Genomic DNA, 24941 nt, shown 5'->3' on the forward strand with positions numbered 1-24941 from the left:
AATTATCTACTGCCACTCTTCTGAGTTCTTTGAGGGCAGGAACAATACCATTTATTTCTGAAACCTATTGGGGTGCATAACGGAATAAATGAATAAACAAATGAGCAAATGAAGTGTGTTGGCAGGGAGAGTAATGCAGAGGAGCTTAGAGAGATAAGGTCACAAAGACGGTTAATCACAGAGTTAGTTAAAAATCTGATGCCTCAGGTCTCTCTCTGCTCTTTTCCTGTGCCTTAACGTTGCTGAAGTTTACAAAGGTGCTTTATAGCTTGTGCAGTCCTGATGCACGGAAAAGCTTTATTTTATTGTTTGACCCAGCCTTCCTAGGCACCACCCCCTGAACAGAGGTAAGCTATGGAAATTTTAACCTCCCGGTGGGGCTTGCACTTCTTTTCACCCACTGTTTACTGCTGAAAGCCTGAGTAGCTATGGGCCATCTTTCCGGAGAAACTAGGAAAAAAAATGTGTGGAAGGCAGCAAGCCCACGATGTAAGAAAAAGTGTTGTAACTTAAGCCTCCAAGTTCAATGATGATCTCGGTAAAATGAGTTTGAGTTATTTTGTTTTTTGTCTCTGTCACTCTGATGCCCGGGCTGGAATGCAGTGGTGCCATCTCGGGTCACTGCAACCTCCACCTCCCAGGTTCAAGCCATTCTCCTGCCTCAGCCTCCAGAGTAGCTAGGATTACATGGGACTGCCACCATGCCTGGCTAATTTTTGTATTTTTAGTAGAGACGGCGTTTCACTATGTTGGCCAGGCTGGTCTCAAACTCCTGACCTCAGGTGATCCACCCGCCTTGGCCTCTCAAAGTGCTGGGATTACAGGCGTGAGCCACCGCACCCGGCTGAGTTTGAGATCTTTTGACCCCACTGTTTTGATTCTGTGTTTAAGCATACAAACATTTAAATCTATTCTAAATTAACACGAAAGTACATGTCTACAAAGTGTTTGCCAGAAAAAACTTCATTAAATAAATTTAATATTTTTATTGACTTTCTGCTCATAGGGGTTAATTCTTCCAATTTTTTTTTTCCATATTTAGTTTACTGATTACTGTAGGGACCAATGTTTCAGTGATGACAAGCATTTTTCATATCAAAATTGACTTTTGTGTCTACATTGTTTACTGTCTTCCATGGTCTTAATCTCTGCCAGGCTCAGTTTTCTTGGGTCAATGTTTTGCAAGATCCAAATTTTATCACTTTTCCTTCTTTGATAATTTTTTAGTTAAATACAAATACACTGTCAGTTTTAGTCATTATCAATTACTCTGTCTTGTTTTCCTACCAAATTTAATTTTCCCAAGTTAATTTGGAGTTTTCAATGTTACTGATACAATCTGATCTTCCAATAAGTCCTGTGTGCAGTTATAGCTGTTGCCAGTATTATTATGCTGGTTCTTTCTTCTACTAACCTTTCTATGAATTGGGTATAAGATAAACAGTTCGTGTTTACATCTGGAAGCAAAAAGCAAAGACCATTAGTGGACAAATGTGAATCTGGGCACTTGGCTGGTTCAAAATAACAGAATCAAAACATCATGCCTATGGCAAGCTTGTTGACTTTTTAAGGATCAGAAATCTTTGCTTTGTAAATGTGACAGTCTTATGATTCTTACATTTTCTTTTAATCTCCATTTTGTTTTATCTTAAATTTATTAAAACTTCTCTGAGAAGGTAAGTTTTCCTCAGCCCTTCTAAGGGATTTTCCAGCTAGTGGTCTCCGTCATCAAGTTCTACTCTGTTGAATTCCTTCGGGGTTGGATTTTGTTTATAACAATAATTTTACTTTTTCTGAACGCCCTTTTAAAACGTCACACTGAGATCCACCAGAAGAGTAAGAATAACATTAGGCTTGTTTTTATAATTCATCCCAGACATCCCAAGTGAGAATTAAAAAAAAAAATTACTCATTTCTATTTTCCTTTCTCAAAAACACATTACAAAAAGATTGTAAAACAAAGTCTTGAGGGATTGATTAGTCAAGACAGGGGGTGAAACTCTTAAGAATCCAGTGGAATCAGGACAACCCAAACTTCCTTTGTAGAAGAGCATTTGCTATTAAGAGTGCTTAAAATATCAGAAGACTAGAGAGAGGAAAGAACAGATCTTCACCACATGCCTGTGACTTATTCTTCCACCCTGCACTAATCTTACAATGTGGGCTGCGGTTGGTCTAAAGCTTAAATCAACAAGTACTGTAAAGGTTTTAGAACAGTGCAGACCACACAGTAAGGTGCTCAGCAGGTACTGGCTGAATACTGTAATAGTCCCTGTAGATAAAAGCCACAAACCCTGTCCCTAAGTAGCTCCTTTTGGTTGGAGTGACTGACAAGCAACAATTACTTCACAGCGCTTATTAAGGGCTGAGATAGGGGTTAGCTCAAGTGTCTGTGGAAGCAGACCAGTGGGTCTCAAACTTTTTTTGTCTCTGGACCTCTACACAATATTTGTTACCACAAATAATGTATTTATGAAAAGCATATTTTCCAAATTAATAAAAGGGTGATATCTAAAATTTCTGCAGATTTCCTCAATGTCTGGCTTAATAGAAGATGGCTGGATTCTCTTATCTGTTTCTGCATTGAATCAGCTGCTATATGCTGTTTTGGTTGAAGGGTGGGAAGAAAATTTGGCCTTAGACACATGCTCCTGGCAAAGGAATGGAGGCTCTACTGAAAGGTCTTGGCGACCCCTCAGGGAAACCTGGGACCACATTCTGAAGACTGCTTACTGGATACCAAGAATGTTTCTTGGAGGTAGCAATTTGAGTCCTGAGGTAGATCAGCCATGTAGGGTGAGGGTAACGGAGGTAGTTAATGGTAAGGCTGCTGTGCCGAGCCAGCACAGATATTTGGGCAGAGGGCTCATCTACTCCATCCTATTCTACCATTCTTGAACTCACAGTCAATTAATAAAAAGTACCTGGGGTTGGGGAGCTGCGCATCAATATTATATTAACTGTGAAGCCTTAGTGCTTACTACGGTCGAGAAAAAGCGCTCCTCTGATTCGCCCCTCCCGGCGGCGCGGAGGTGTGAGCTAGAAGCCCGCAGGCGGTGCCGCGTCCTCCGAAGACAGGGAGGGGCGCGGCAACGCCGGGAAGCGCTGCAGCCCGGGGCCCCACGGAGGCGCGGCGCTCGAGGCCCTAAAGCGCGCAGGCGCGGCAGCGACGCAGGCCGCGGCCCCCGGAACGGTAAACAGTGGGGTCACGTGACACGGCCCCTCTCCAGCTCCCGCGCCGCCGCCGCACGCCGATGGCTGCGGGGTCTCGCGCCGTCGCACCGTCCCCACGCGGCAAGCGACCTTCGGGCTCAGGGCGGCGGCGGCTGCAACGAGGATTAGGAGGGCGGCGCGGAAGCCAAGAATAGTGTCGTCAGCAGCAGCCATTTGGTCCCAGGAGGAAAAGAGGCTGTGGCAGCGACGCCGACGTCCTGCGCGTACCCCCTCTCCGCGGCACCCACCGGGCCCCCTCCTCCTCCTCTTCGGCGGCGGCAGCGTCCACCATCTTCCTCTTGCTGCCAGTGGTAGCGCTCGTCTGGCGGAGCTGGGTGAGTTGCGGCTGTGGCCGCGGCCAGGGAGACGGGCAATCCTCCCCTCCCCCATCCCCTTCCACACGCACAGCGCCTCCGCGGGCCTCTCCGCCCCTCCCGCGGCGGACTCTCCGCGCTTTTCTCCCGCGCAGCCGAGAGATCGCCTCTCGGGCCTCTTGCGCAACGTCCTCGGCCTACCTGGGCCGCGCCGCTGGCGCCTGTGGACCATTTGGACCGCGGGCTGGGGAGGGAGTCGCAGCGACGCGGTCGCCAGGCGGAGGGTCGGGACCACGGCCTCTCTCCCGACCACTGGTACCCAGCCGTCTGCTGCGAGGGCGCCCCGCCGCCGCTGAGGCGCGGGCGCGCAGGCCCGAGGCACGGCGGGCGCTGCCTGGAAGGCCCGTCTCGCAGGCCCCCGGATCCGGCCGTTGGGGCCTCTTCCTTCTCAGGGAGCCCCAGCATGGAGCTTTGGGCCTTGGTTTCGGGAAACTGGGACTGGCCCTGGCTGCTAGGCTGCTCCCTGCTGCTGCTTTTTGGAGATGAGAGTTGCTCTTCCATTTATCCTCCAGTTACCGCGCGCTTTTGTGCCCGGGACTCAAACTGTGGACTCCTTTTGCTTAGTTTGAAATGAGAAGCCTAGACTCTTGCCTTCCGATAATACATGTAATTTAATGAACCACTTGTCGATACGTACGTGTTAATGGTGCTAAATAACTGATCACCTGACACGGGGGGCGGGGGCGGTGCGGAGAGTAGAAAGGAAGAGAATGTTGATATCGCGCACGGAGTCCTGTGTCCCTCCTTTCCCTCAGGATGTGTTGCCGGGTTAGGTGACCTTTTTCCATCTTTGGGCTTTTAAATGCCAATTCCTAGAGACTAGATTGGGGTGGTTATTAGTGCTTTCCAGTAGTCACGCGTAGAATATGTTCATGGATTAATGTTAAGTGGCAACACTGCTTTAATATTCTAGTCCTAATCTGCATTACATGTAGCGATATTTAATTTAAAAAGAATAATCGATTATTGAGGCTTCTCTAAATACTAACTTTACTATCTTATTTTAAGCTAAATTTAAAAACCAATGCAGTAAACTCTGTAGGGAGTACTTAAACAGTACGTTGTTGTATTTAGTTACTATTTTGGGGTCGAACTTGTCTTCCCTTTGACAAAATGATTGTTAAAGGCCTAACAAAACTACGCCTCCATTATTCATTTTTCGATTCCTGAATGAAGTGTTTGGAACTGTGAAAATATTTGTAGAAAAAGATGTATGTTTGTGTTAGAGCGACATGTTGAGTCAAAGCACCAGAAACTTTTCTATTGTAGCATACTTATGTTTTTGAATTTATAGCTCCCTTCCACAGCACAAAAAGGTGTTGTGTAAAGATTATTGTTATTTTAAATAGTAATTTTAAAGTTTAGTTATCACTTAGACCTTTTCCCCACTAATTTTTCTCTTCATTCATCTGTTTACTGGCTATATATTACCATAATGATTCTTTCCTTCATCATCGTCATTATCACTGTTATTATTATTTTACAATACATACTTCATTTTCTGGTGATAGTAGCAGAGTTTAGTGGCAGACTTTTAGGAGTGATGATTCCTCTGATTGAGCCACACAATCAGTCCCGAAACGGGCTACTTTTATGTAAAAAGATTACAACTTTAGATTTTAAGCTTTTTCAGATAGCTGTACTCGGTAATTTGTCAAAATGATAAAAATGAGCCAGTGATGGGACCAAAGTTTGCCTCTTATTTACATTTTTTATAGGTTCATTTATTGAAGAATAGAAAAATATAGTTTATTTTACTGCTTTTGCATACACGTGAATTATGCATTCTCTCTTGTTGGGATAGACTTCAGATAACTTTATCATGTTGATCTTATGGTATACTTATATGTTGCATAATCAGAAAAGTCACCTCTGAGAAGTGGTCTATGTAAATGTAGGTAAAAAATTGGTTTGGTCAGATGCACATTTCAAGATAGAAAAATCGAAAGGAATTTGTCTTTAATCATTTCAAACTATGTTATTAAAATTTAAATTTTATTGAGTATTGGAATCCACTAGGAAAGTTGACAGTCTTTGACTTATGTAATGTATTACTTATAAAAGTTGGGAGGCAGCAAGTGGCAATTTGGAGTATTGCAAAATCAAGAGCTTAGATTTTTTTCATAGTATAAGGCCTACTTGGAAAAACTGGTGAATGAAAATTATACATACAATTCTGTGTTTCAGTTACTGAAATAGATGATGTTTATCTTCCTTAACATGGTGGGATGGTGTTTGCTTTTTTGATACATTTTGCCTTCTTAAGATCCATTTAAATTTCTCATAAAATCCTTTTTACATATGTTTTTTCTGGAGATAATAACTTTTCTGTTTTTTAGTGAGATAATGAGATTTTTTGGTCAACATTTAGGTTTGTGTATTACCAATACATATTTCACCACACAGTGTCAAGGAGTTCAGGATTCTTAGGGTGCTGATTTCTAACAGTTTTTATTCATCCACATTTCAAGAATTCTTTCTGACAAGTGGCTGCTGGATTTTTTTCTTTTCTGGAAAAGTACATCTTGGGCTCTGTTTCTCTTATTTCTTCTTGGAGCACTCTCTCAGAATTCTGGAGTATCTTTTCAGAAGGATAGACACTTTTTCAACTATAAAAATTGCTTGGCAAACTGTTAGACATTTATGATACTGTTGCATTTTTGAGAACACAGTCAAAAAATATTCTTTAATTGTTGCCCTTTGATTACACATGGAAAGATATTGAGAGTATTGATGTGATTAAACATACATGAGACCCTGAGGCTGTTTCTATTCTCAGTAAAGATATTATAGTCTGGGAAACAAGATTCATTGACATCTGATGTTAATCAGTGTATTAGAGTTAAAGGGGAAAATATCAAGAGTTTTATGAGGAATTGCTATATGTGTGGACTTGACAATTATTGTCCTGCATAATGTGCTTAATTTAGACCATTTTTAATGGTATTTTAAAATTTTATGACTATTATACAGTGAAGAGTGGATATAGAGAAATAGTTCAGTAAAAATTTTAAGATATTTCCAGAAGTTTTAACCTGTTGGCATAATCTAACTTTATTAGACAGTTTCGAAGAGCGTGGTAGATTATACAGAAAGGCTGAACTTTAACATTTTAATTCGTTTGTAATTTGCATGAGCTGGGCACATGAAAGCATAAAGTTTTAGACTGAAAATAAATGGAAAAGTTTGTAGCTGATAAATTGCTTTTCCTCCAATGATGTTCATATGCATTGAGGCTTACATTTTGTTTTTTTTTAAATGTGTAGAGGGTGGCTAAGTGCATATTCCTGTTTTATTTTGGAAGAAGGATGAGTCACTTTTGTTTCTAGCATTTTTTAAGATTTCATTAATGATATATTAAAAGCATAAAAATTAATGTGTAGAGTGCATTATAGAGTGTAAAAGTGTAGGCTCAGGAATCACACTGAATGGGTTCAAATGTAGGAATATTGGGTATGTGACCTTGGGCAAATTATGTAATTATCTAGGTCTCAGTTTGCTCTAAAGAGAAAGGACTAATAATTGCACCTACCTTATAGGGTCGCTGTGAGGAACTAATGAGATAATGCATACGATACACAGGGCCTGGCATATAGTGTGTGCCAATTACACGTTAGCTTGGGTTGTTACTCCCTAGGCCATAGTTTTAATGATGAGCTAGGTCCACTACTTTGGTGGTTTATTCAAATTCCTAATGCTTATAATGTCAGTTATGATATAATGCCAATATAGTTGTAAACTTTGAAGTTAACTCTTTCTTGTTACTGTTGGCTACTGTAATTCTGTGTTTGCCAGTTTCAACATCTTCAGATCCTTTCCTAGGGACTTAGGTCTGCTTTGGTCTTAGTTGTCTTTGTGCAGCAGACACTTTGATATCTTCTTTTTACCAGATACATTTAGAAAAGTTATGATCCTTGCTTTCTATAATGATGTCTTGCCAATAGATTCTAACTAACGAAACTGAACCAGATTTGAAGTGGGGGTGTAGAGTAGATGACTAGGTTGAATTGCTTTGTAGAATGATACTTTGTAGTATTGTGTCATACCACATGGCCTAACCACTTATTAATTTTTGACTCTGTCCTCGAAGGATGGATAACCCATGATTCATCTTTAGTGTTGTTATATCATAGTAGTTAAGAACTGACCTTAGTGTAATGCAGAGTGGATCTGAGTCCTGGCTCTGTCACTTATTTATTTTGTAATATTGGGTGTAACTTTGCTAAACTTTAGCCCCTCTCTTGTAAATTGGGGATGATAGTACCTGCCTAATGGTTTGGTTGTGAGGATTAAATGGCATGATGCATTTAATTTGTTTAGCACAATGCCTTGCACACAGTAAATATCCAGTGAGTTTAACCTTACAAACACATAGGGCAGTTGTAAGCACATTGACTCTTAAATGAAATTTTCTGGGTTCAGATTTTAGCTCTGTTCTTCCTGTAGGAGATAGCTTAAACAAACAAACAAACAAAACCAAACAACTTTTAGTTCCATCACCTACTATGGCAAATTATTTAAACTCTTTGATCCTAATTTCATTTTATTTCAATTTTTATATAATCAGGATAATAATATAAGGTTGTTTTGAGGATTAAATGAATTAAAAAATGTAGAGCAGAATTTCTTAAACTTGACTGTTGACATTTTTGGCTGGATAATTTTTTGTGTGTGTGTGGGGCTGTCCTAGTGCATTATAGTATGTTTACTAGATGCAAATAGTACCCTTTCCAGTTGTGATGGCCAAAAATGTCTCTAGACATGGCAAATGTTCTCTGCATGGGCATACTCACCTCTGATTGAGAATTATAGATACAAAGCATGTAGAACAATGCCTGTCTTGAAGTTTGAGCACAAGAAGTTTTGTTTTATCATTACTGGTGGTAGTTTGTTCTTCTACTGCTACTGCCTATTAGGAATTTGTTTTTGGTAAGCATGCCTGATGAAATTGCTTATTTTAAACGATGGTATGGGGGCTGAAGGCATCAAGTGTGCTCCACTTTTAAGACCTTTGTACTTCTGGGTCTTTGTCTGGATTGCTCTTTGGCATTTATGCATTGATCACTACCTCACTTGAGATTTTGGTTCAAATGTTACGCTGTGAGGCCTTCACTTACTATCATACATAGACCAATCCCCCATCACCACCACCATCACTATTGCCTTGTATAACTTTTCTTGAGCGATATTAGTCTCCTGATAAATTTTTGCTCCCCTCACACCACCCCCCTACACACACACCCACAGACACAAATGTAGACTACGTGAGAGACAACTTCATCTTAGTATATAACCTCTTTGGCCTTTGATAGCTTTAGTGATTTATTGTTAGGTGTGTATGTGTGTGTGTGTGTGTGTGTGTGTGTGTGTGTGTGTGTGTTTTAGGAAATAATAGGATAGAATTCATAGGTTTACTTTGAAGGTGTTTTAAAGTGAGTTTTTGTAAAGTGTAATTTTTTTTTTTCGAGACGGAGTTTTGTTTTTGTCTTCCAGGCTGGAGTGCAATGGTGTGATCTTGGCTCACTGCAACCTCTGCTTCCCAGGTTCAAGCTATTCTCCCACCTCAGCCTCGGATTACAGGCATGCACCACCACACTCAGCTAATCTTTTTTGTTTTTAGTAGAGACGGGGTTTCGTCATATTGGTCAGGCTGGTCTCGAACTCCTAACCTCAGGTGATCTGCCCGCCTCGTCCTCCCAAAGTGCTGGGATTACAGGTGTGAGCCATGGCGCCCGGCCTAAAGTGAAATTTTTTTTTGCTGTTGACACTTTCTAAATCTCATCTTTTTGCGTTCTATTAATACTTGAAACACTTGAAAAGCAATTAGGCTATTTTGTTAGTATAAACTAAACCTGACTTCAGTATAATTCTCTGAGAATTACAGATGAAACATATTTTAAAGCAGGAAATATCTTCGGACTCAGATTAAATTTTATTTGACAAATTAGTACCAATTATTTTTAGTTGTATTCTGAGTCTTTATAAATGGTCCATCAGGACCAAACTCAGCCATTCATAATTAAGACATGCTGTTCCCTTTGCCTAGAATATCCTCTGGACCATTAGGATCCAGCTTACACATCATCACCTGCCTAGCCTTTGTTAGCTTCCAGAGTTTCACCTTCCTCTGTGAAGCCCTTCAATACGGCATTTAGCATTTTGTTGTGATGTTTATATGTGTTGTATTTGCTTATATGTTTATGTCATTTTGAATTGTGAGTTTTTCGACTTTCAGATGGGTTCATTTCACTAGACTTAAAATGCTTTGTAGTAGATGCTTAACACATGTATGAGTAAATGAATAATTTTGAATTATGCAGATTATTCACTTATATACTTAGCTGCATATATTCTGTTGTCTGTAAAAATGAATTTACCCAGAAACAATTTCTGACTTTAACATGTATATTCCCAAATTACCAATACGGATTTAATTGGATATACACGTATCATCAGCCATTTAAAATACACCCTATATAGGCTTATTATGTTTTAATTATTTAGAATGCCAGTAGATGGGCTTCCTATGTTTTATTAAATTTAGAATGCCAAATATAGGAAAGCATTTAAGTAAAATTTTAGTGTAAGAAACAGGAATTTGTTTAAATTAGACAATTTGTTTAATTAACAAAGATACTAAATTGGCTCCTAATTTTCCCCCTTAATTAGATCTGATTATCTGTTAGCCACATTACTAGGTATCCCAGAATATTCTTAGATTAGTTTTTTTAAGACTTTATTTTGTAATAATTTTATATTTATAGAAAAGTTGCAAAGGGTGTGTAGTGTTTGTATATACTCTTATCTAGTTTCCCTGATTATTAACATCTGACATAAAGCTAGTGCCTTTATCAGAACAGAGATTATTATTATTGGTGTATTACCAATGATAATGGTAAATTACAGACTTTATTCTGATTTTACCGGTTTTTTTTTGCTACTGTCCCTTTTCTGTTCCATGATCTAATCCAGGGTACCACATTGTGTTTAATAGATTAGTGTATCCATTACAAGTGAGTAAATATTTCTACATTTGGCTAATTTGTTTGCCTGTTTAGCATTAGAGCTATTTTATTTTTGAGACTGATCACTTTGTATCTGAAACTGATTTTTAAAAATGAATTATACCTCCAGTAAATGTTACTTTCAAGGGAGTTCTTTTGGATGGCTACATGCTGTTCATTTTTGGCATTTTCTCTTTGGAATTATCTCCAGAGCCAGTTGGAACCACGTAAGAAAAATTATTCTGACTCATTTATAACAATTTTCCTTAAAACGTGTCCCATGAAACACTAGGATTGTGATTTGTCCTGTGGAAATTGTCTTCTTTGGACTCACAAATGTGATACGCTTTATTACTATGTTCTTAGAAGATTCCCATTTTCATTAGCTTACTAAACATGTCTCACACAATGGTAGCTGCTTAGTAAACATTTGATGAATAAATAAACGGTATTGTTAAAGAAACATAACTTCAGTCTATCTCCACTTGTGACTGTGGAAACCTTTTTCCGGATAATGCCTGTTTAAATCTGGGGAAGCATACTTCATAAGTCATAATAGTTTTGACTTAAAAACAGTACTGGAAAACTTGACCCATTTTATTTACAATATGCTTTATTTAAAAAAAATCGATCTTCAAGAAATATATTACAGGCTCTGAAGCCACTTTCAGTAAAGGAGTTTTAGGATGGTTTCACTAATAGCAGTATTATTGAAAACAAAAAAAATTGCTCCTTTAGATGACTAGTTAGAATGGCCTGGTCTTCAGTATAGCTATGGGATCTTGAGCTTTGTGACCATAACTTCTGAATGTTGTGAATGTTCCCATCACTTGAAAGCTCACAGCATATAGTTGGTACAACAGGAAGACCTCATAGGAAGTTTGCAGAATTTGCTGGCCTCATGTTGCTATGGTAACAAGTGCATTTACTTTTTCAGTAGATTCAGTATACCGTTTTTTGAAGGAAGGTTAGCCATTTGTTTCTAGGGCTGAAACTGCCTTTTTTCTTTTTGATTGATCTGAGAAAAAAGATTACTAATTGGGATGCAACTCTCTGAAGAGGAGGTGGCTTTGGTTTGCTGTATTGGATTCCAGTATGTTCAGATAAATGAATTCATTGGTAGTTCTACTTAATTTTGTAAACATTTAGTGAATATTTTCATAAATTATTTTTAATTACCAGAATTTAATATACTAAATTTTTTTTTGGAACCTAAAAACATATTGGGCGTAAGTATTGGTGTTGTATGATAATCGAGACTTTCTTTGGCACTGAGATGATATAGTGGTAGGGAATTCTTAAAGGAACTTGTCCTGAGTTTTCTTCAGCATTGCTAGCTACAATTTTCTGTCAGTTGAGAGAATGCATGTAAAATAAGCAGCAAATCTGTAAAGTAGTTAGCATTTTCTTTCAGTGCTTTATTAACATTTCAGTGTAAATAAATGGAAAAAAAATGAGAAGAGATACTGAAACTTCTATTTAGAAGGACATTAACTTTTGTGAGAGAGGAATTTGCTTTTTTTTTAAAAAAAATTGAGGTATAATAAATGCATTCATTAAAAATGAACAGATTCGTGAAACCATTATCACAACCAAGATTTAGGACATTTCCGTCATCTCTCAGGTATGCACCTGCCCTTTTGCAGTTCATCCTTTCCCTATTCGTGGCCCCAGGCAGTCACTAATTTGTTGGATTTTTTTTTTTTTTTTGGGCACAGGTTCTGGCTCTTTTGCCAGGCTGGAGTGCAGTGGGTTGATTTCGCTGCAACCTCCACTTCCCGGGCTTAAGTGATCCTCCCAACTCAGCCGCCCGAGTGACTGGGTCTACAGGCACACGTCACCACACCTGGCTAATTTTTGTATTTTTTTTTGTAGAGACGGGGTTTCGCCTTGTTGCCTAGGCTGGTCTCCAACTCCTGGGCTCTAGTGATCTGCCCACTTCCCGAAGTGCTAGGAATACAGGCATGAGCCACTGGGCCTGGCAGGAAAATTGTTTTTAAAGAGCCCTTAATGAGTCAGATCATCCCAGCCCTTAGCTCAGTGTGAAAGGGTAACACTTACTAATGGGTATGGGCTGTGGAGCTTGAAACCCAGGCTAGAATTTTGGCTCTGTTTTGTGACTTTGGGGAAGACATTTAAATTATTCAAGTGCATTTTTTTAAATAATGCGAGGATGTTAATAGACCCTGTTTATTATTGGGGCTTAAATTATATAAATGTTGGTTAAATGTTTTGTACAGTATGACATATATAACTAGTGAATGTTAGCATGTATCTGAAATTCTTCCCTCATTTTTATAGGGGGAGAGAATTCAAGACTAGTTTGAGGAAATTTTGTTAAATTTGGAGCTAATCTCAAAAATCTTGGAATTAAGGAGCCCAGGATGTTATAGGTTAATCACTGGGACTTTTTGTTAAATTAATATTAACTTTTTTCGGTTGACTTTCCACCCCCTAAAATATGTTGATTCAGTTTTCTCTCAAACTGATTTAACTTAATTGTTTTAACTTTTCATAATTGAGGCTCCTGTAGAGCTTTGAAATGACTTTGCTGAGCAATGTAGGTACAATTCAAATGGGAGACTAACTTGATACTTGTATAGACCACACATAACTAAAATAAATCTAAATACATGATGTAGATTGTCTTTGTGTCATTTATCTTGTTTTTATCCTATAAGGGGGCCTTGAAAAAAGGTGTGTTTGTGCACATCTTTGTGTGTGTGTGTAGTCTTTTAAGTTTTGATTTGTTGGGTTAATAGTTTCTTTTTCATTTTCCACCTCTTCCCCCACAATAAAAGCCCTTTGTCTATATATATATTACCTTTCTTTAAATAATTTTAATACTTTGTAAATAAAACAAGCCTACTTTATGGTTTTAATAGGTATGGGATAAAAATTTAAAATATTTGATTTTAGCTCTTTTATGTGGACTTATTGTAAAAGCAGTGTCTGATGCTTAATTTGTGAAAAGGTTGTGGTTAAAAACAATAGTTTTTATGCTTTAAGCCATGTAATTCTTTTGTATGTGTCAAGTTAATGGACTATATACATAGTTTTTTTTTCCTAAAAATAATGAACTGAGTAAACATTTAGTAGGATTTCTGGTAAAATGATATACTACATGCATGATGAAGAAACATTATTTAGTAAAGATTCGTTCTACATTTCCAAATGTATATTCTAAAAACAAGTGAGGATTTTTTTTTTAAACAACAATTCAGAAATACCTTAAGTGTGTTCTTAGACTCAAAACTATTAAAATAATTTGGTATTAGGTGATTTTCAATTGATAGCTTTATTTCTTATGGTATTTTTTTTGTCTTTCTATAGGGCTGAAAGACACACAGAAGTCTTCATGGATATAGTTGATACATTTAATCATTTAATTCCTACTGAACACTTAGATGATGCCCTATTTCTAGGATCCAACCTGGAGAATGAAGTCTGTGAGGATTTTAGTGCAAGTCAAAATGTCTTAGAGGACTCGCTGAAGAACATGCTCAGCGATAAGGATCCTATGCTAGGATCTGCAAGTAACCAGTTCTGTTTGCCTGTTTTGGATAGCAATGATCCCAATTTCCAGATGCCTTGTTCAACAGGTAATTCTTACTTTTTTTTTTTTTTTTTTTTTTAGTCTGCAATTTAAAATAAAAAAATTTTCAGCAGCTTTTTCTTTTTTCTTTTTTTCTTTTTTTTTTTTTTAATGAGGAGGGTAGTAAATTTAGGGTTATTTCCTTTGAATTTAGAGCTTCTTTTCCAGGCATCAGAATTAAAATTTAAACTAAATTTTCTTCCAAGGAGTGTGGAGTTATCCTCAAGGATATTATGGATATAGGTAGGGTGACCATATAATTTATTATCCAGTATGGGACACTTACTAGAATTACAGAGAGTACTTTAATAATTACATCATGACAACAGGTGTAAATTGGGACTCTTTAGTAAATAGGGATTGCCCGGCAAATTGAGACATGTGGTCACCTTAGGCCTGCTGGAGTCGGGGGATGGCTGAATTGACCTTTCTCAGCATACCTCCCAGCCCCTGAAATATTTACATTGTTTGCTCCCATTTCACCTCCTTTGGTATTTTGTACATGTATCTTAAAACCAGAGAAAGAACTCTATACCTCTGCTGCCCTGGACAGTAAACACTAGCCACATGTCATTTGCAATGAGTCTGGTCGCTTGCAATGAGTCTGGTCCTAATTGAGATGTGCTATAAAATGCACATTAGATTTTGAAGACTCAGTATGAAAAAAAGTTAAAAAATATTTCTTCAATTTTTTTATGTTGCTTATGTGCTGAGGTGATATTTTGGATATTTGTGGTTAAAATTTATGTCACTTGTTTTGTTTTTTTTGCCTTTTTAAAAGTGACTACTTGAAAATTCAAAATTACATATGTGTCTTATATTTCTGTTGGACAGAAAAGGGTCTGTAGTTGAAGTAACTGAAAGACTGAAGATAGTAATTTTCTGTAAGGCTAAACTATCCTTAATAAGAAATTACTTTGTCATGTTAATGTATAAAAAACAGTTTTTCTTTTATAAAGCAGAGAAAATATTACTGTAAACGTTGTGGCAATTACTAATAGCTATTCTGTGAGTAAAATTATAGGTAAAGGTAAAATCAGCCTCCCATGGAACAGTAAGGTTTTCCCTCACCATTCCCTAGAGTAAATAGTTCTCAGGTTTATGTGATGTTGGTTTGTTTTTCATTGACTAGACTTTTTCTCCTGTACAGTTTGTTCAGCATATTTTTCATTTTTTAAAACATTTTCTATGTATATTTTAAATTTAATACGGCAATACTTAAAGTTGGGAATAGGTGGTCTGCTGTTGGCCCTTAAGTTTGCCAGGTTACTCTGCCTGAGGACCTCAACACTGGCTACTAGGAAGCTTCATTTTAACAACTTAAAACTGAGGTCTTTTGAATTGCTTGCTAATAGTGTATCTCTGAATTATTTATATTATGTTGTGTTATTACTTAGGTTTACATTGTTCTGTTGTTGTATTCTAAATGTTTTAAAGCTTTTAAAATTTTGTTTTATGTATGCATTGTTCAAGTTTTTTACTTTGGTGCTTGTGTCAGTATAGTAGCTCTAATTATCTTTATTTTTAAGCATTTTTGACAGTGTTTGGTTGTATGCTGACTGTTTCCTAGTTTAGTCCAAATTCAGGAAGAACATTTATTTAATATTAACATGGTTGTTGCTGGAACTCCAGTTACCTTCAAGGGTGGTTATATTGGATGTGGAACTGACACATGTGTCATCTTGTTAGACTATTTTACTTATAAAATTCCACCCCTATAGTAATACCTGTATTCCTACTTCCTGTCCTTTTTTAAAAATTGATTTCTGTTGATAATGAAAAGTTTTTATTAATGTGAAAAATCTCTTCAGTTTTGTTGTACATTTCTTTTGCTAATAGAAGACTTAGAGCACCTTTATGAAGTACATAGAAATTTTTTGAGATACGATTTATTATTCGTTTGTGATTCTGTTATCTTTTAAATGAACTTTTAAATTTAGGAACTTAAATTACTTCCTAAATTTTCTGATATTAAAATTTGGTTACTAGAATTATTTATCTTTGATTCTGTAGCAGAATGTTTGTATTGGTATATGTATAGTGTATATGTTTTTAAGATATGTAAGGAAATATGTGGGGGAAACTTAATAAGGCTTTTCTGTTTAGGATTGTTTAAATTTCATTGTGCCATCTAGCAGGGGATTTATCTTGATTTCTTCAAAGTTCTTTTCCTTTTGGGATATTTGGGTCAGTAAAAGGCCCACACATTTTCTGAAAGCAAAATGGAAAACATTTTTGAAAAAAAATTTAACTTTTTGTTAGATTTAAGAGATAATTGCAAAAAAGAAATCTTATTTATTTATTTATTTATTTATTTATTTATTCATTTATTTTGGTAGAGACAGGGTCTTGTTATATTGCCCAGGCTGGTCTCTTAACTCCTGGCCTCAAGCTATCCTCCGGCCTATGTCTCACAGAGTGCTGGGATTACAGGTGTGAGCCACTGTGCTTGGCCTGGGAAATCTTATTGTAATTATTGATGAAAACCCTGTGTGGACAGGAACTTTCAGCTATTTATAAATAACTTCAGCTGTTTTTAAATAAAAACAACATAGTTCTTGCCCAGATTGTTGTTTCTGGCACAATGGGCTTTTACTAGCTGTTTTCATTGAAGCTAAGCAGGGAAATAATCCTATATGTATTCCTTAGACCAATGAAAGCTATAGACTGTGGCTATTTTGTAACCTTAGTGCTAAAATTAGCTACCAAAATAATTGCTACATCATCTTTTCTGTTATGATGAACCAGGCTGGTTTCGGACCAGTATTTTTGTTGTTGACATAGTGATTTGGATTGTATTTCAGCTGTCTCAAAAAATCATAGTTTTAGAAAATTATAAAAATAAGAAACATAGAAGATTACGTTTAGTGCTCTGTTGGATACACAAAAGTTGGGATGCCAGTTGTTTTATTTTGAGAGAAAGCAGCCAGCTTTCTTCTTTGAATGCTTTTGACTGTGTCAAGTATTACTTCATCTAATTGTAGTGTTTGCATATGGTTTTTAGATGTGCCCATTAATATATTTTTTTAACCTCTAGCAAGTAAGCAAAAGAGTATTTTCCCAAGTAACAGGTTTGAGATAGTGAATATACTGTTTATATATACCACTTGAGGAGTGTATTCAAAATCACTGAAATGGTGTTTACTGGCAGTATCAGTGTTATGAAGAAATGTTTATTTTATCTCTCATTTTACAAACAAATGTGTTCCCTTTTTACATTGACAGCTAAGCTATGATTCATAAGTGTGGAACAATCTTGTGTTTACAATCCATTTCTTAATATGGTATATTGAAAATAAATGTTCAGTGGCTGTAAGTTGATATCTTTAGTTTTTACAATATAGTTCAACATTGTTTTAAGACCAACAAAACAGACATACTGTAGAAACATGAGCCTTTCATTCAGATAGCACTCTTATCTGCTACTGTAGGTTACTACTTGCAGCTACTGCATCCTTCAGTGAAACCAAGATGTCCTTTCAAGGCTGCATTATGGCTAGCAAAATCATCATTCACTTAATTAAAAAAAAATTCTCTAGTATGGTTTTTGGAGGTTAAGCAAATTAAAAAGTCATTGAACTCTTACAGGTATCCCAAATATTTGGGAAGAGTTGATTCATATTGTGTAATTGAGTATTTTTTCAAGTAAAGGAAAACACCTGCTTACATCACATGTTGCTTTCCTATCATAAATGACATTGATATTATATGACATCAAGCAGTGTTGTTCGATAGAATTTTTACTTGCACTGCTTTCAAGCAAAGTGTTGTAATACTTGTAATATATGTTAAGACTAGTTTTACAATTAGTAAAACTATCAGTAATAGTGTGATTTAGTCCCTTTTTTGGCATATGAATTTTAAACTTTAGTCATACCTAGTTTGAGGCTCCTTTATCACTAGACAATTCATCTATGTAATATTGGAAAAATTATATTGCACTTGTTCTGGAAAAAAGGTTTGGTGTACCAGTGTGTCACAGATTTGTTTAAAAAGTTTTGGGTTTTATGGCTTTGTGTTTCTCTTGGACAGCATTTCAATCAGACAGTACATTGAACTAAACGTAGTGGCTCTCTGGTCTAGTGAAATTCAGTTTTCAGATATTTATTACTCCCTATTTGTACTTTCTTGGGGGTTGGTGGGGCTATTTGTGCATATTAATTAGATCTCTGAATCCAACTACACATATAAGTTCATTATATATCTTCACTGGAGTCTTGACTGTTTTTGTTTATTATTAGTTGATTTTTTTAAAGCTTCTGTGCTTCAATGAACCTTTTACATTAATAACTTATTTTTGAGAATCGAGTTTTAAAAAATTGTTTTTGACACATAATTGTACGTATTTGTGGGGTACAGTAATATTTTTATGCATGTGTACAATACGTAATGATCAAATTAGGTTAATTTGCATATTTATCAGCTCAAATATTTGTCATTTCTTTGTGTTAGGAACATTCAAAAGTTGCCCTTCTAGCTATTTGGAAATGCACAATAAATTGTTAATTGTAGTTACCCTGTAGTGTTAATGGAGTACTAGAATTTATTCCTCCTATCTAGCTGTAATTTTTTCTTTTTTTTCCTTCTTTTTGAGATGGAGTTTTTCTCTGTCATCCAGGCTGGAGTGCAGGGGGCCGATCTTGGCTCACTGCAACCTCCACCTCCCGGGTTCAAGTGATTCTCTTGCCTCAGCCTCCTGAGTAGCCGGGATTACAGGGGCCTGCCACCATGCCCAGCTAGTTTTTGTATTTTTGGTAGAGACAGGGTTTCACCATGTTGACCAGGCTGGTCTTGAACTCCTGACCTCAAGTGATCTGCCTGCCTTGGCCTCCCAAAGTGCTGGGATTACAGGTGTGTGCCACTGTGCCCTGCCTAGTTGTGATTTTGTATCCATTAACAAACTTTTGGCTATTCCCCCTGCTCCTTCCCCTTCCCCAACTCTGGTAATCACTATTGTACTGTCTACTTGTGTGAGCTCAACTCTTTTGCTGCTATATATGAGTGAGAGCATGCGGTATTTATATTTCTGTGCCAGGCTTATTTCACCTAATGTCCTAGAGCTCATCTGTGTTCCCATAATGGCAGAATTTTGTTCTTTTTTAATGGTTAGTTAGTATTCCATTGTGTATATATATACCACATTTTCTTATTCATCCACCTGTTGGTAGACACTTAGGTCGATTTCGTATTATGGCTATTGTTAATAGTGCTGTAATAAACATGGGAGTGCAGAGATACTGATTTCTTTTCCTTTGGCTATTTATGCCCAGTGGTGGGATTGCTAGATCATATGGTAGTTCTGTTCTTAGTTTTTTGAGGAACTTCCATATGTTTTCCATAATGACAGTACTGATTTACATTCCCTCCAAGAGTGTGTAAGAGTTCCCCTTTCTCCATATTCTTGCCAGTGTTTATTATTTTTTATCTTTTTGATAATAGCCATTCTAAATGGGATGAGATGATATCTCATTGTAGTTTTGATTGGCATTTCCCAGATGATTAGTGAAGTTGAGCATTTTCTTCGTATGCCTGTTAGTCATTTGTATGTCTATTTTGAAAGATGTCTTTTCAGCTTATTTGCTCATTTAAAAAATTGGATTGCTTTTTTGTTGTTGTTGTTGTTTGAGTTCCTTATATATTCTGGATATTAATCCCTTGTTGGATGGCTCAGTAGCAAATATTTTCTCCCATTCTGTAGGTTTCTCTTCACTCTGTTTATTGTTTCCTTTGCTGTCCAGAGCTTTTTAGTTTGATCTAATCCCAATTGTCTGCTTCTGCTTTTATTGCCTGTGCTTTTGAGGTCTCCATAAAATTTTTGCACAGACCAATGTCCTAAAGCATTTCTCCCATTTTCTTCTGGTAGTTTCTTAGTTTTGGATCTTACATTTAAGTCTTTAATCCATTTTGAGTTGATTTTTGTATATGGAGAGAGATGGGGTTTAGTTTCGTTTTTCTGCACATAGATATCCAGTTTTCCTAGCACCATTTGTTGAAGAGATTATTCCTTCCCAAATGATTGTTTTGGTGCCTTTGTTGAAAATCAGTTGGTTATAAATATGTGGATTCATTTCTGGGTTTCTTTTTCTGTTCCATTGGTGTGTATGTCTGTTCTTAGGCCAGTACCATGCTGTATTGGTTATCATAGCTTTGTAGTATATTTTGAAGTCCAGTAGTGTGATAACTCCAGCTTTATTATTATTATTATTTTTTGCTCAGGATTATGTTGGCTAGTTTTTTTTTTTTTTGTGGTTCTGTGTATTTTTTTTTGTGTGTGTGGTTTTGGGGATTTTTTTTTCTATTTCTGTAAATAATGTTACTGGTATTTTGGTAGGCATTGCATTTTTTGCTCAGGATTATGTTGGCTAGTTTTTTTTTTTTGTGGTTCTGTGTATTGTTTTTTTTGTGTGGTTTTGGGGATTTTTTTTTCTATTTCTGTAAATATTGTTACTGGTATTTTGGTAGGCATTGCATTGAATCTATACACTGCTTTTGGTAGGTAATGTGGTCATTTTCACAATATTCTTCTAACCACGAACGTTGGATGTCTTTCCATTTTTTGATGTGTGTTCTCTTTAATTTCTGTTATTAGTTTTTTTTGTAGTTGTCCTTGCAGAGATCTTTAACCTCTTGCTTAAATTTATACCAAAGTGTTCTACATTTTTCGGTGAGTAGGATTGCTTTCTTGATTTTTTTCCCCACTAGTTTATTTTGGTATATAGAAATGCTGCTGACTTTTGTATGTTTATTTTGTATCCTACAAGTTTAATGAATTTGTTTATAAGTTCTAACAGTGCAGATGTACAGTTTGACTTCTTCCTTTCCAATTTGGATGTCCTTTATTTAATATTTTTTTCTTTTGCTTAATTGCTTGGGCTAGGACTGCCAGTACTGTGTCGAATGAAAATGGGCATCCTTGTCTTGTTTCAGATGTTAGAGGAAAAACTTTCAACTTTCCCCCATTTAGTATGATGTTGACTGTGGTTTGTCATGCCTTTATTGTGTTGAGATATGTTTATTTTATACCTAACTTGTTGAGAGTTTTTATTGTGAAGGGATGTTGAATTTTATCACTTACGCTTTTCCTGTGTCTATTGAGATGATCATACTGTTTTTGTTCTTCATTCTGTTGATGTGATGTATCACATTTATTGATTTCATATGTTAAACCATTCTTGCATTCCTGGGATAAATGCTACTTGATTGTGGTGAGTGATCTTTTTAATGTGCTGCTGGATTCAGTTTGCTAGGATTTTTGCATTTATATTAATCAGGGATATTGGCCTCTAATTTTCTTTTTTTGTTGTGTTTTTGTCTGGTTTTGGTATCAGGGTACTGTTAGCCACACAGAATGGGTTAGGAAGAATTCCCTCCTCTTCAATTTTCTGGAAGAATTTGAGAATTGGTATTTGTTCTTTAAATGTTTGATAGAATTCTGCAGTGAAGACTGGGTCCTGGGCTTTTCTTTGATGGGAGACTTATTATTACAGAGACAATCATGGTTGAACATGAAAAATACAAATTTAATACGTGTAGCCATGCAGATGAGATGGAAATACATTGGTTAAGACAAAGTATATACTTTTTATCAAATGTTGAACAAGATGAACTGATGAACCTTGTAAGCACATACATACCCTTTAAGAATAAAAATTTCTGTAAGATTGATGATTAAGATTACATATCATTTTGAGTTTTACGTAGAGAGGTTCAGATGAATGTGGAGTATGTTTTGAAGAGAGCAAAAGATAAAAGAGAGGTAAACACTTCATAGAATTAGAGCTGTAACTTAGGGAAGAAGAGGAAATGCCAAAAGATCGAAAGAGTATGACCTAGTAGCTGCCATAGATATTTGGAAGTTTATCATATTGATAAGAGATTTGACTTCTTTATGAATAAAAGGGAAAGACCTAGGTCCCTTAGGCAGCAGTTAGAGGGAGGCAGAGTTTAAGTGGCTAAAAGGGGGAACTTGTGGTTCTCCAAAATGGAATAATAGGTTCCCTGGCTGGGCATATAGGATTTTCGCTTTTGCTGGTTATGACCCGTTGACTGAGGTGTTTCAGTGGGGATTCAGGCATCAGATAGTTATTTGTATTAGGTGACCTTTTTTTTTTTTTTTTTTTTCGAGATGGGGCTCTCACTGTGTTGCCCAGGCTGGAGTGCAGTGGTACAATCTCAGCTCACTGCAACGTCCACTTCCCAGGCTCAAGTGATCCTCCCACCTCAGCCTGCCTAGTTGTTGGGACTACAGGTGTGTGCTGCCACGCCCTGCTAATTATTATTATTATTATTTTTGAGACAGAGTTTCACTCTTGTTGCTCAGGCTGTAGTGCAATGACACTATCTCAGCTCACTGCAACCTCCGCCTCCCGGGTTCAAGCAATTCTCCTGCCTCAGCCTCCTAAGTAGCTGGGATTATAGGTGCCCACCACCATGCCCGCCACCATGCCTGGCTAATGTTTTGTATTTTTAGTAGAGATAGGGTTTCTCCATGTTGATCAGGCTGGTCTTGAACTCCTGACTTCAGGTGATCCACCTGCGTTGGCTTCCCAAAGTGTTGAGATTACAGGTGTGAGCCACCATGCCCGGCCTGTTTTTGTGTTTTTTTGTAGAGACAGGGTTTCACCATGTTGCTTAGGCTGGTCTCAAACTCCTGAGCTCAAGCGAGCTGCCCACCTTAGCCCCCCAAAGTGCTGGGATTATAGGCATGTGCCACTGCGCCTGGCTTCAGGTGACCTTTTAAGGTCTGTTCCAAACTAAATTATCCATGAAACTGTTATTTCTTTTTATAAAAAGAAATACAAATGATTTTTTATGTTCACTTTAGTCCTAAGTTTTATTGGTAGGCTTTATGTATTTCATAGCTTCTTTAAATTATATGCAATATAGCTTAAAAGCACAGTGGTAACTACTACATTTATATAAGCAGCTTTAATTGCTCTCAGTTCGGTTTGTTTCTTGTTGTTTTATTTCTTATGCTTTTTCTGGGTTATAGACTGCTGTTCTATGTAGATATTTCTTCTTTTTCTTTTTTTGTTGCAGTGTTGGGGTTTTGCTATGTTGCCCAGGCTGGTCTTGAACTCCTGGGCTCAAGCCATTCTGCCGCCTTGTCCTCTCAAAGTTCTGGGATTACAGGCATGAACCACTGTGCCCGGCCCTGCTTTAGACATTTCTAATAGATTGTGCAGTTCTTTTCAAATATTTTTCCATAGTCATTGCTGCAGCCATCCTTAATAACAAAAGTAACAATTGAACTCAGAGTTAAAACATACACATCTTTTAATGTAAACACTAAAGTATCACTTTATAAATTCAGAAAATCCAGAGTAGGGAATTTCTGGCCCAAGGCCGGAGCTTTCCAGTTGAAGTCTTTATTTTGCATATTCTGTGGCTTTTCTGTTTTAGTTCTACTTGCTTACATTTATTTTTGCTTTCCATAGCTTGACATAATATAAAACTGAATATATCTTAGTTGTACTTTGCATTGACTATTTAATTTTTTGTCTTTTTAACTTAAAATGTGAAATAAAATTAATCTTGTCTTCATTACTGTATCTCTGATAGTTTTTGTTTCTTCATCTGTTGCTTAAATTTATTCCATTGTATTACTGAAACCCTAAAAAAACCAAGACACCTTGGACCAAGACTAGTACAGTTTTTATTCTAGTACAGTTGCTGACTGTGTGTTTGTATGTGTGTTTGTATAAACTTGCATTTCTGTGCTGTTACAAGAGACTTCTTTTTCCAAGATTTTGAGCCTACTATTGGTCTATTGAATTCATTTTTCCCCTGGAGATTTGTTGCCCAGAGCCCCCTGAGTTTGTCATTTTCTAGGCATGTTATACATCTTCTGTCTCTGAGCTTTACTGCTCTCCTTGATTAGAGCTGTTGTTTCCCTGTATTCGATCTTCTTTATTTTTTATCTATACCCTCTTTCTTTGTTGAAGTCCTTGGTAATTTTCTAATACTCTCATACTTGAGTAATGATTTGGTTTTACATAGAATCCAAAGTTGAATATCACTTTTCCTTCAAATTTTAACTCATTGTTTCTTAGCCATCTAGCATTTAATATTGCTGCTGTGTTGCCTGATACTTATATAAGGCTTGCTGCATTGTTAGGTTGCCTTTCCTCCAACCCAGTTTAGGATCTTCTCTTTACCTTTTGATGTTCTGAAATTGCAGTGATGTATCTGCATTAGCCTTTCATTTATTTCCCTGGGCACTTGGTGGGCCTTTTCAATTTGGAGTGTGTTCTCTTCAAGTCTGGGAACTTTTCTTGTGTTTTCTCTGCAAACTCCTGGAAGACAGATGTTGGCTGGTGCTTTTTACGTATTTCTTGTGTCTTTCCAACATTTTGCTTTATGTCTTTCTAGATGCTTATTGCCATATTTTCCACCTCTTTGGATATTTCATTTTGACAAATATTTTACTGTTGCTAAGAATTCTTTCATGTATTCTCTTTATTCCATGTTTTTAGTAGTAGTCTATTCTCAAAGGGATATACAGTAGGCTCTTGAATAATGTGGGATTTAGGGTCACAGAGCCCCCATTCTTTGCATTCAGAAATTCGCATATAACTTTTATCTTCCCCCAAACTTAAGTACTAATAGCCTATGTTGACTGGAAGCCTTACTGATAGCAGAAACAGCTGATTAACACATATTTTGTACATTATATGTTACGTGTATTATCTACTGTATTCTTACAATAAAGTACACTAGAGAAATGTCATGAAGAAAATCATCAAAAAGAATATG

At 36.8% G+C, this 24941-nt stretch overlaps 1 protein-coding gene across 10 annotated transcripts in view, besides 4 other annotated features; it reads left to right on the forward strand.

The window, feature by feature from the left end:
- Positions 1888-2425: an enhancer, noted in NCBI's record as "NANOG hESC enhancer chr6:64344395-64344932 (GRCh37/hg19 assembly coordinates)". NCBI's record gives its function as "activates a minimal SCP1, AML or CMV promoter by ChIP-STARR-seq in naive H9 embryonic stem cells {active_cell/tissue: H9 hESC(naive)}" and the evidence as "EXISTENCE:reporter gene assay evidence [ECO:0000049][PMID:30033119]".
- Positions 2957-3777: an enhancer, noted in NCBI's record as "NANOG-H3K27ac-H3K4me1 hESC enhancer chr6:64345464-64346284 (GRCh37/hg19 assembly coordinates)". NCBI's record gives its function as "activates a minimal SCP1, AML or CMV promoter by ChIP-STARR-seq in naive and primed H9 embryonic stem cells {active_cell/tissue: H9 hESC(naive and primed)}" and the evidence as "EXISTENCE:reporter gene assay evidence [ECO:0000049][PMID:30033119]".
- Positions 2995-3354: a silencer, noted in NCBI's record as "silent region_17310". NCBI's record gives its function as "represses an Ori minimal core promoter by ATAC-STARR-seq in GM12878 lymphoblastoid cells {active_cell/tissue: GM12878}" and the evidence as "EXISTENCE:reporter gene assay evidence [ECO:0000049][PMID:35858748]".
- PHF3 (PHD finger protein 3) overlaps positions 3200-24941 on the forward strand; it is a 90210-nt gene continuing 68468 nt past the window's right edge. For 3 of the 10 annotated variants that reach the window (NM_001290259.2, NM_001370348.2, NM_001370350.2), the window contains exons 1-2: positions 3200-3548; positions 13925-14193. Coding sequence is in view for 4 of the 10 variants with exons in the window: in NM_001370348.2 (NP_001357277.1) it covers positions 13950-14193 (244 nt within the window). In the remaining 6 variants the exon portion in view is untranslated. Of the gene's footprint in view, positions 4221-13923; positions 14194-24941 lie in introns of those variants that run through there. The other 7 variants (XM_047418528.1, XM_047418530.1, NM_015153.4 and 4 more) reach the window with 5 other exon arrangements.
- Positions 3795-3974: a silencer, noted in NCBI's record as "silent region_17311". NCBI's record gives its function as "represses an Ori minimal core promoter by ATAC-STARR-seq in GM12878 lymphoblastoid cells {active_cell/tissue: GM12878}" and the evidence as "EXISTENCE:reporter gene assay evidence [ECO:0000049][PMID:35858748]".

The sequence above is a fragment of the Homo sapiens genome, chromosome 6 (assembly GCF_000001405.40).
Source record: "Homo sapiens chromosome 6, GRCh38.p14 Primary Assembly".
Lineage (NCBI taxonomy): Eukaryota > Metazoa > Chordata > Mammalia > Primates > Hominidae > Homo > Homo sapiens.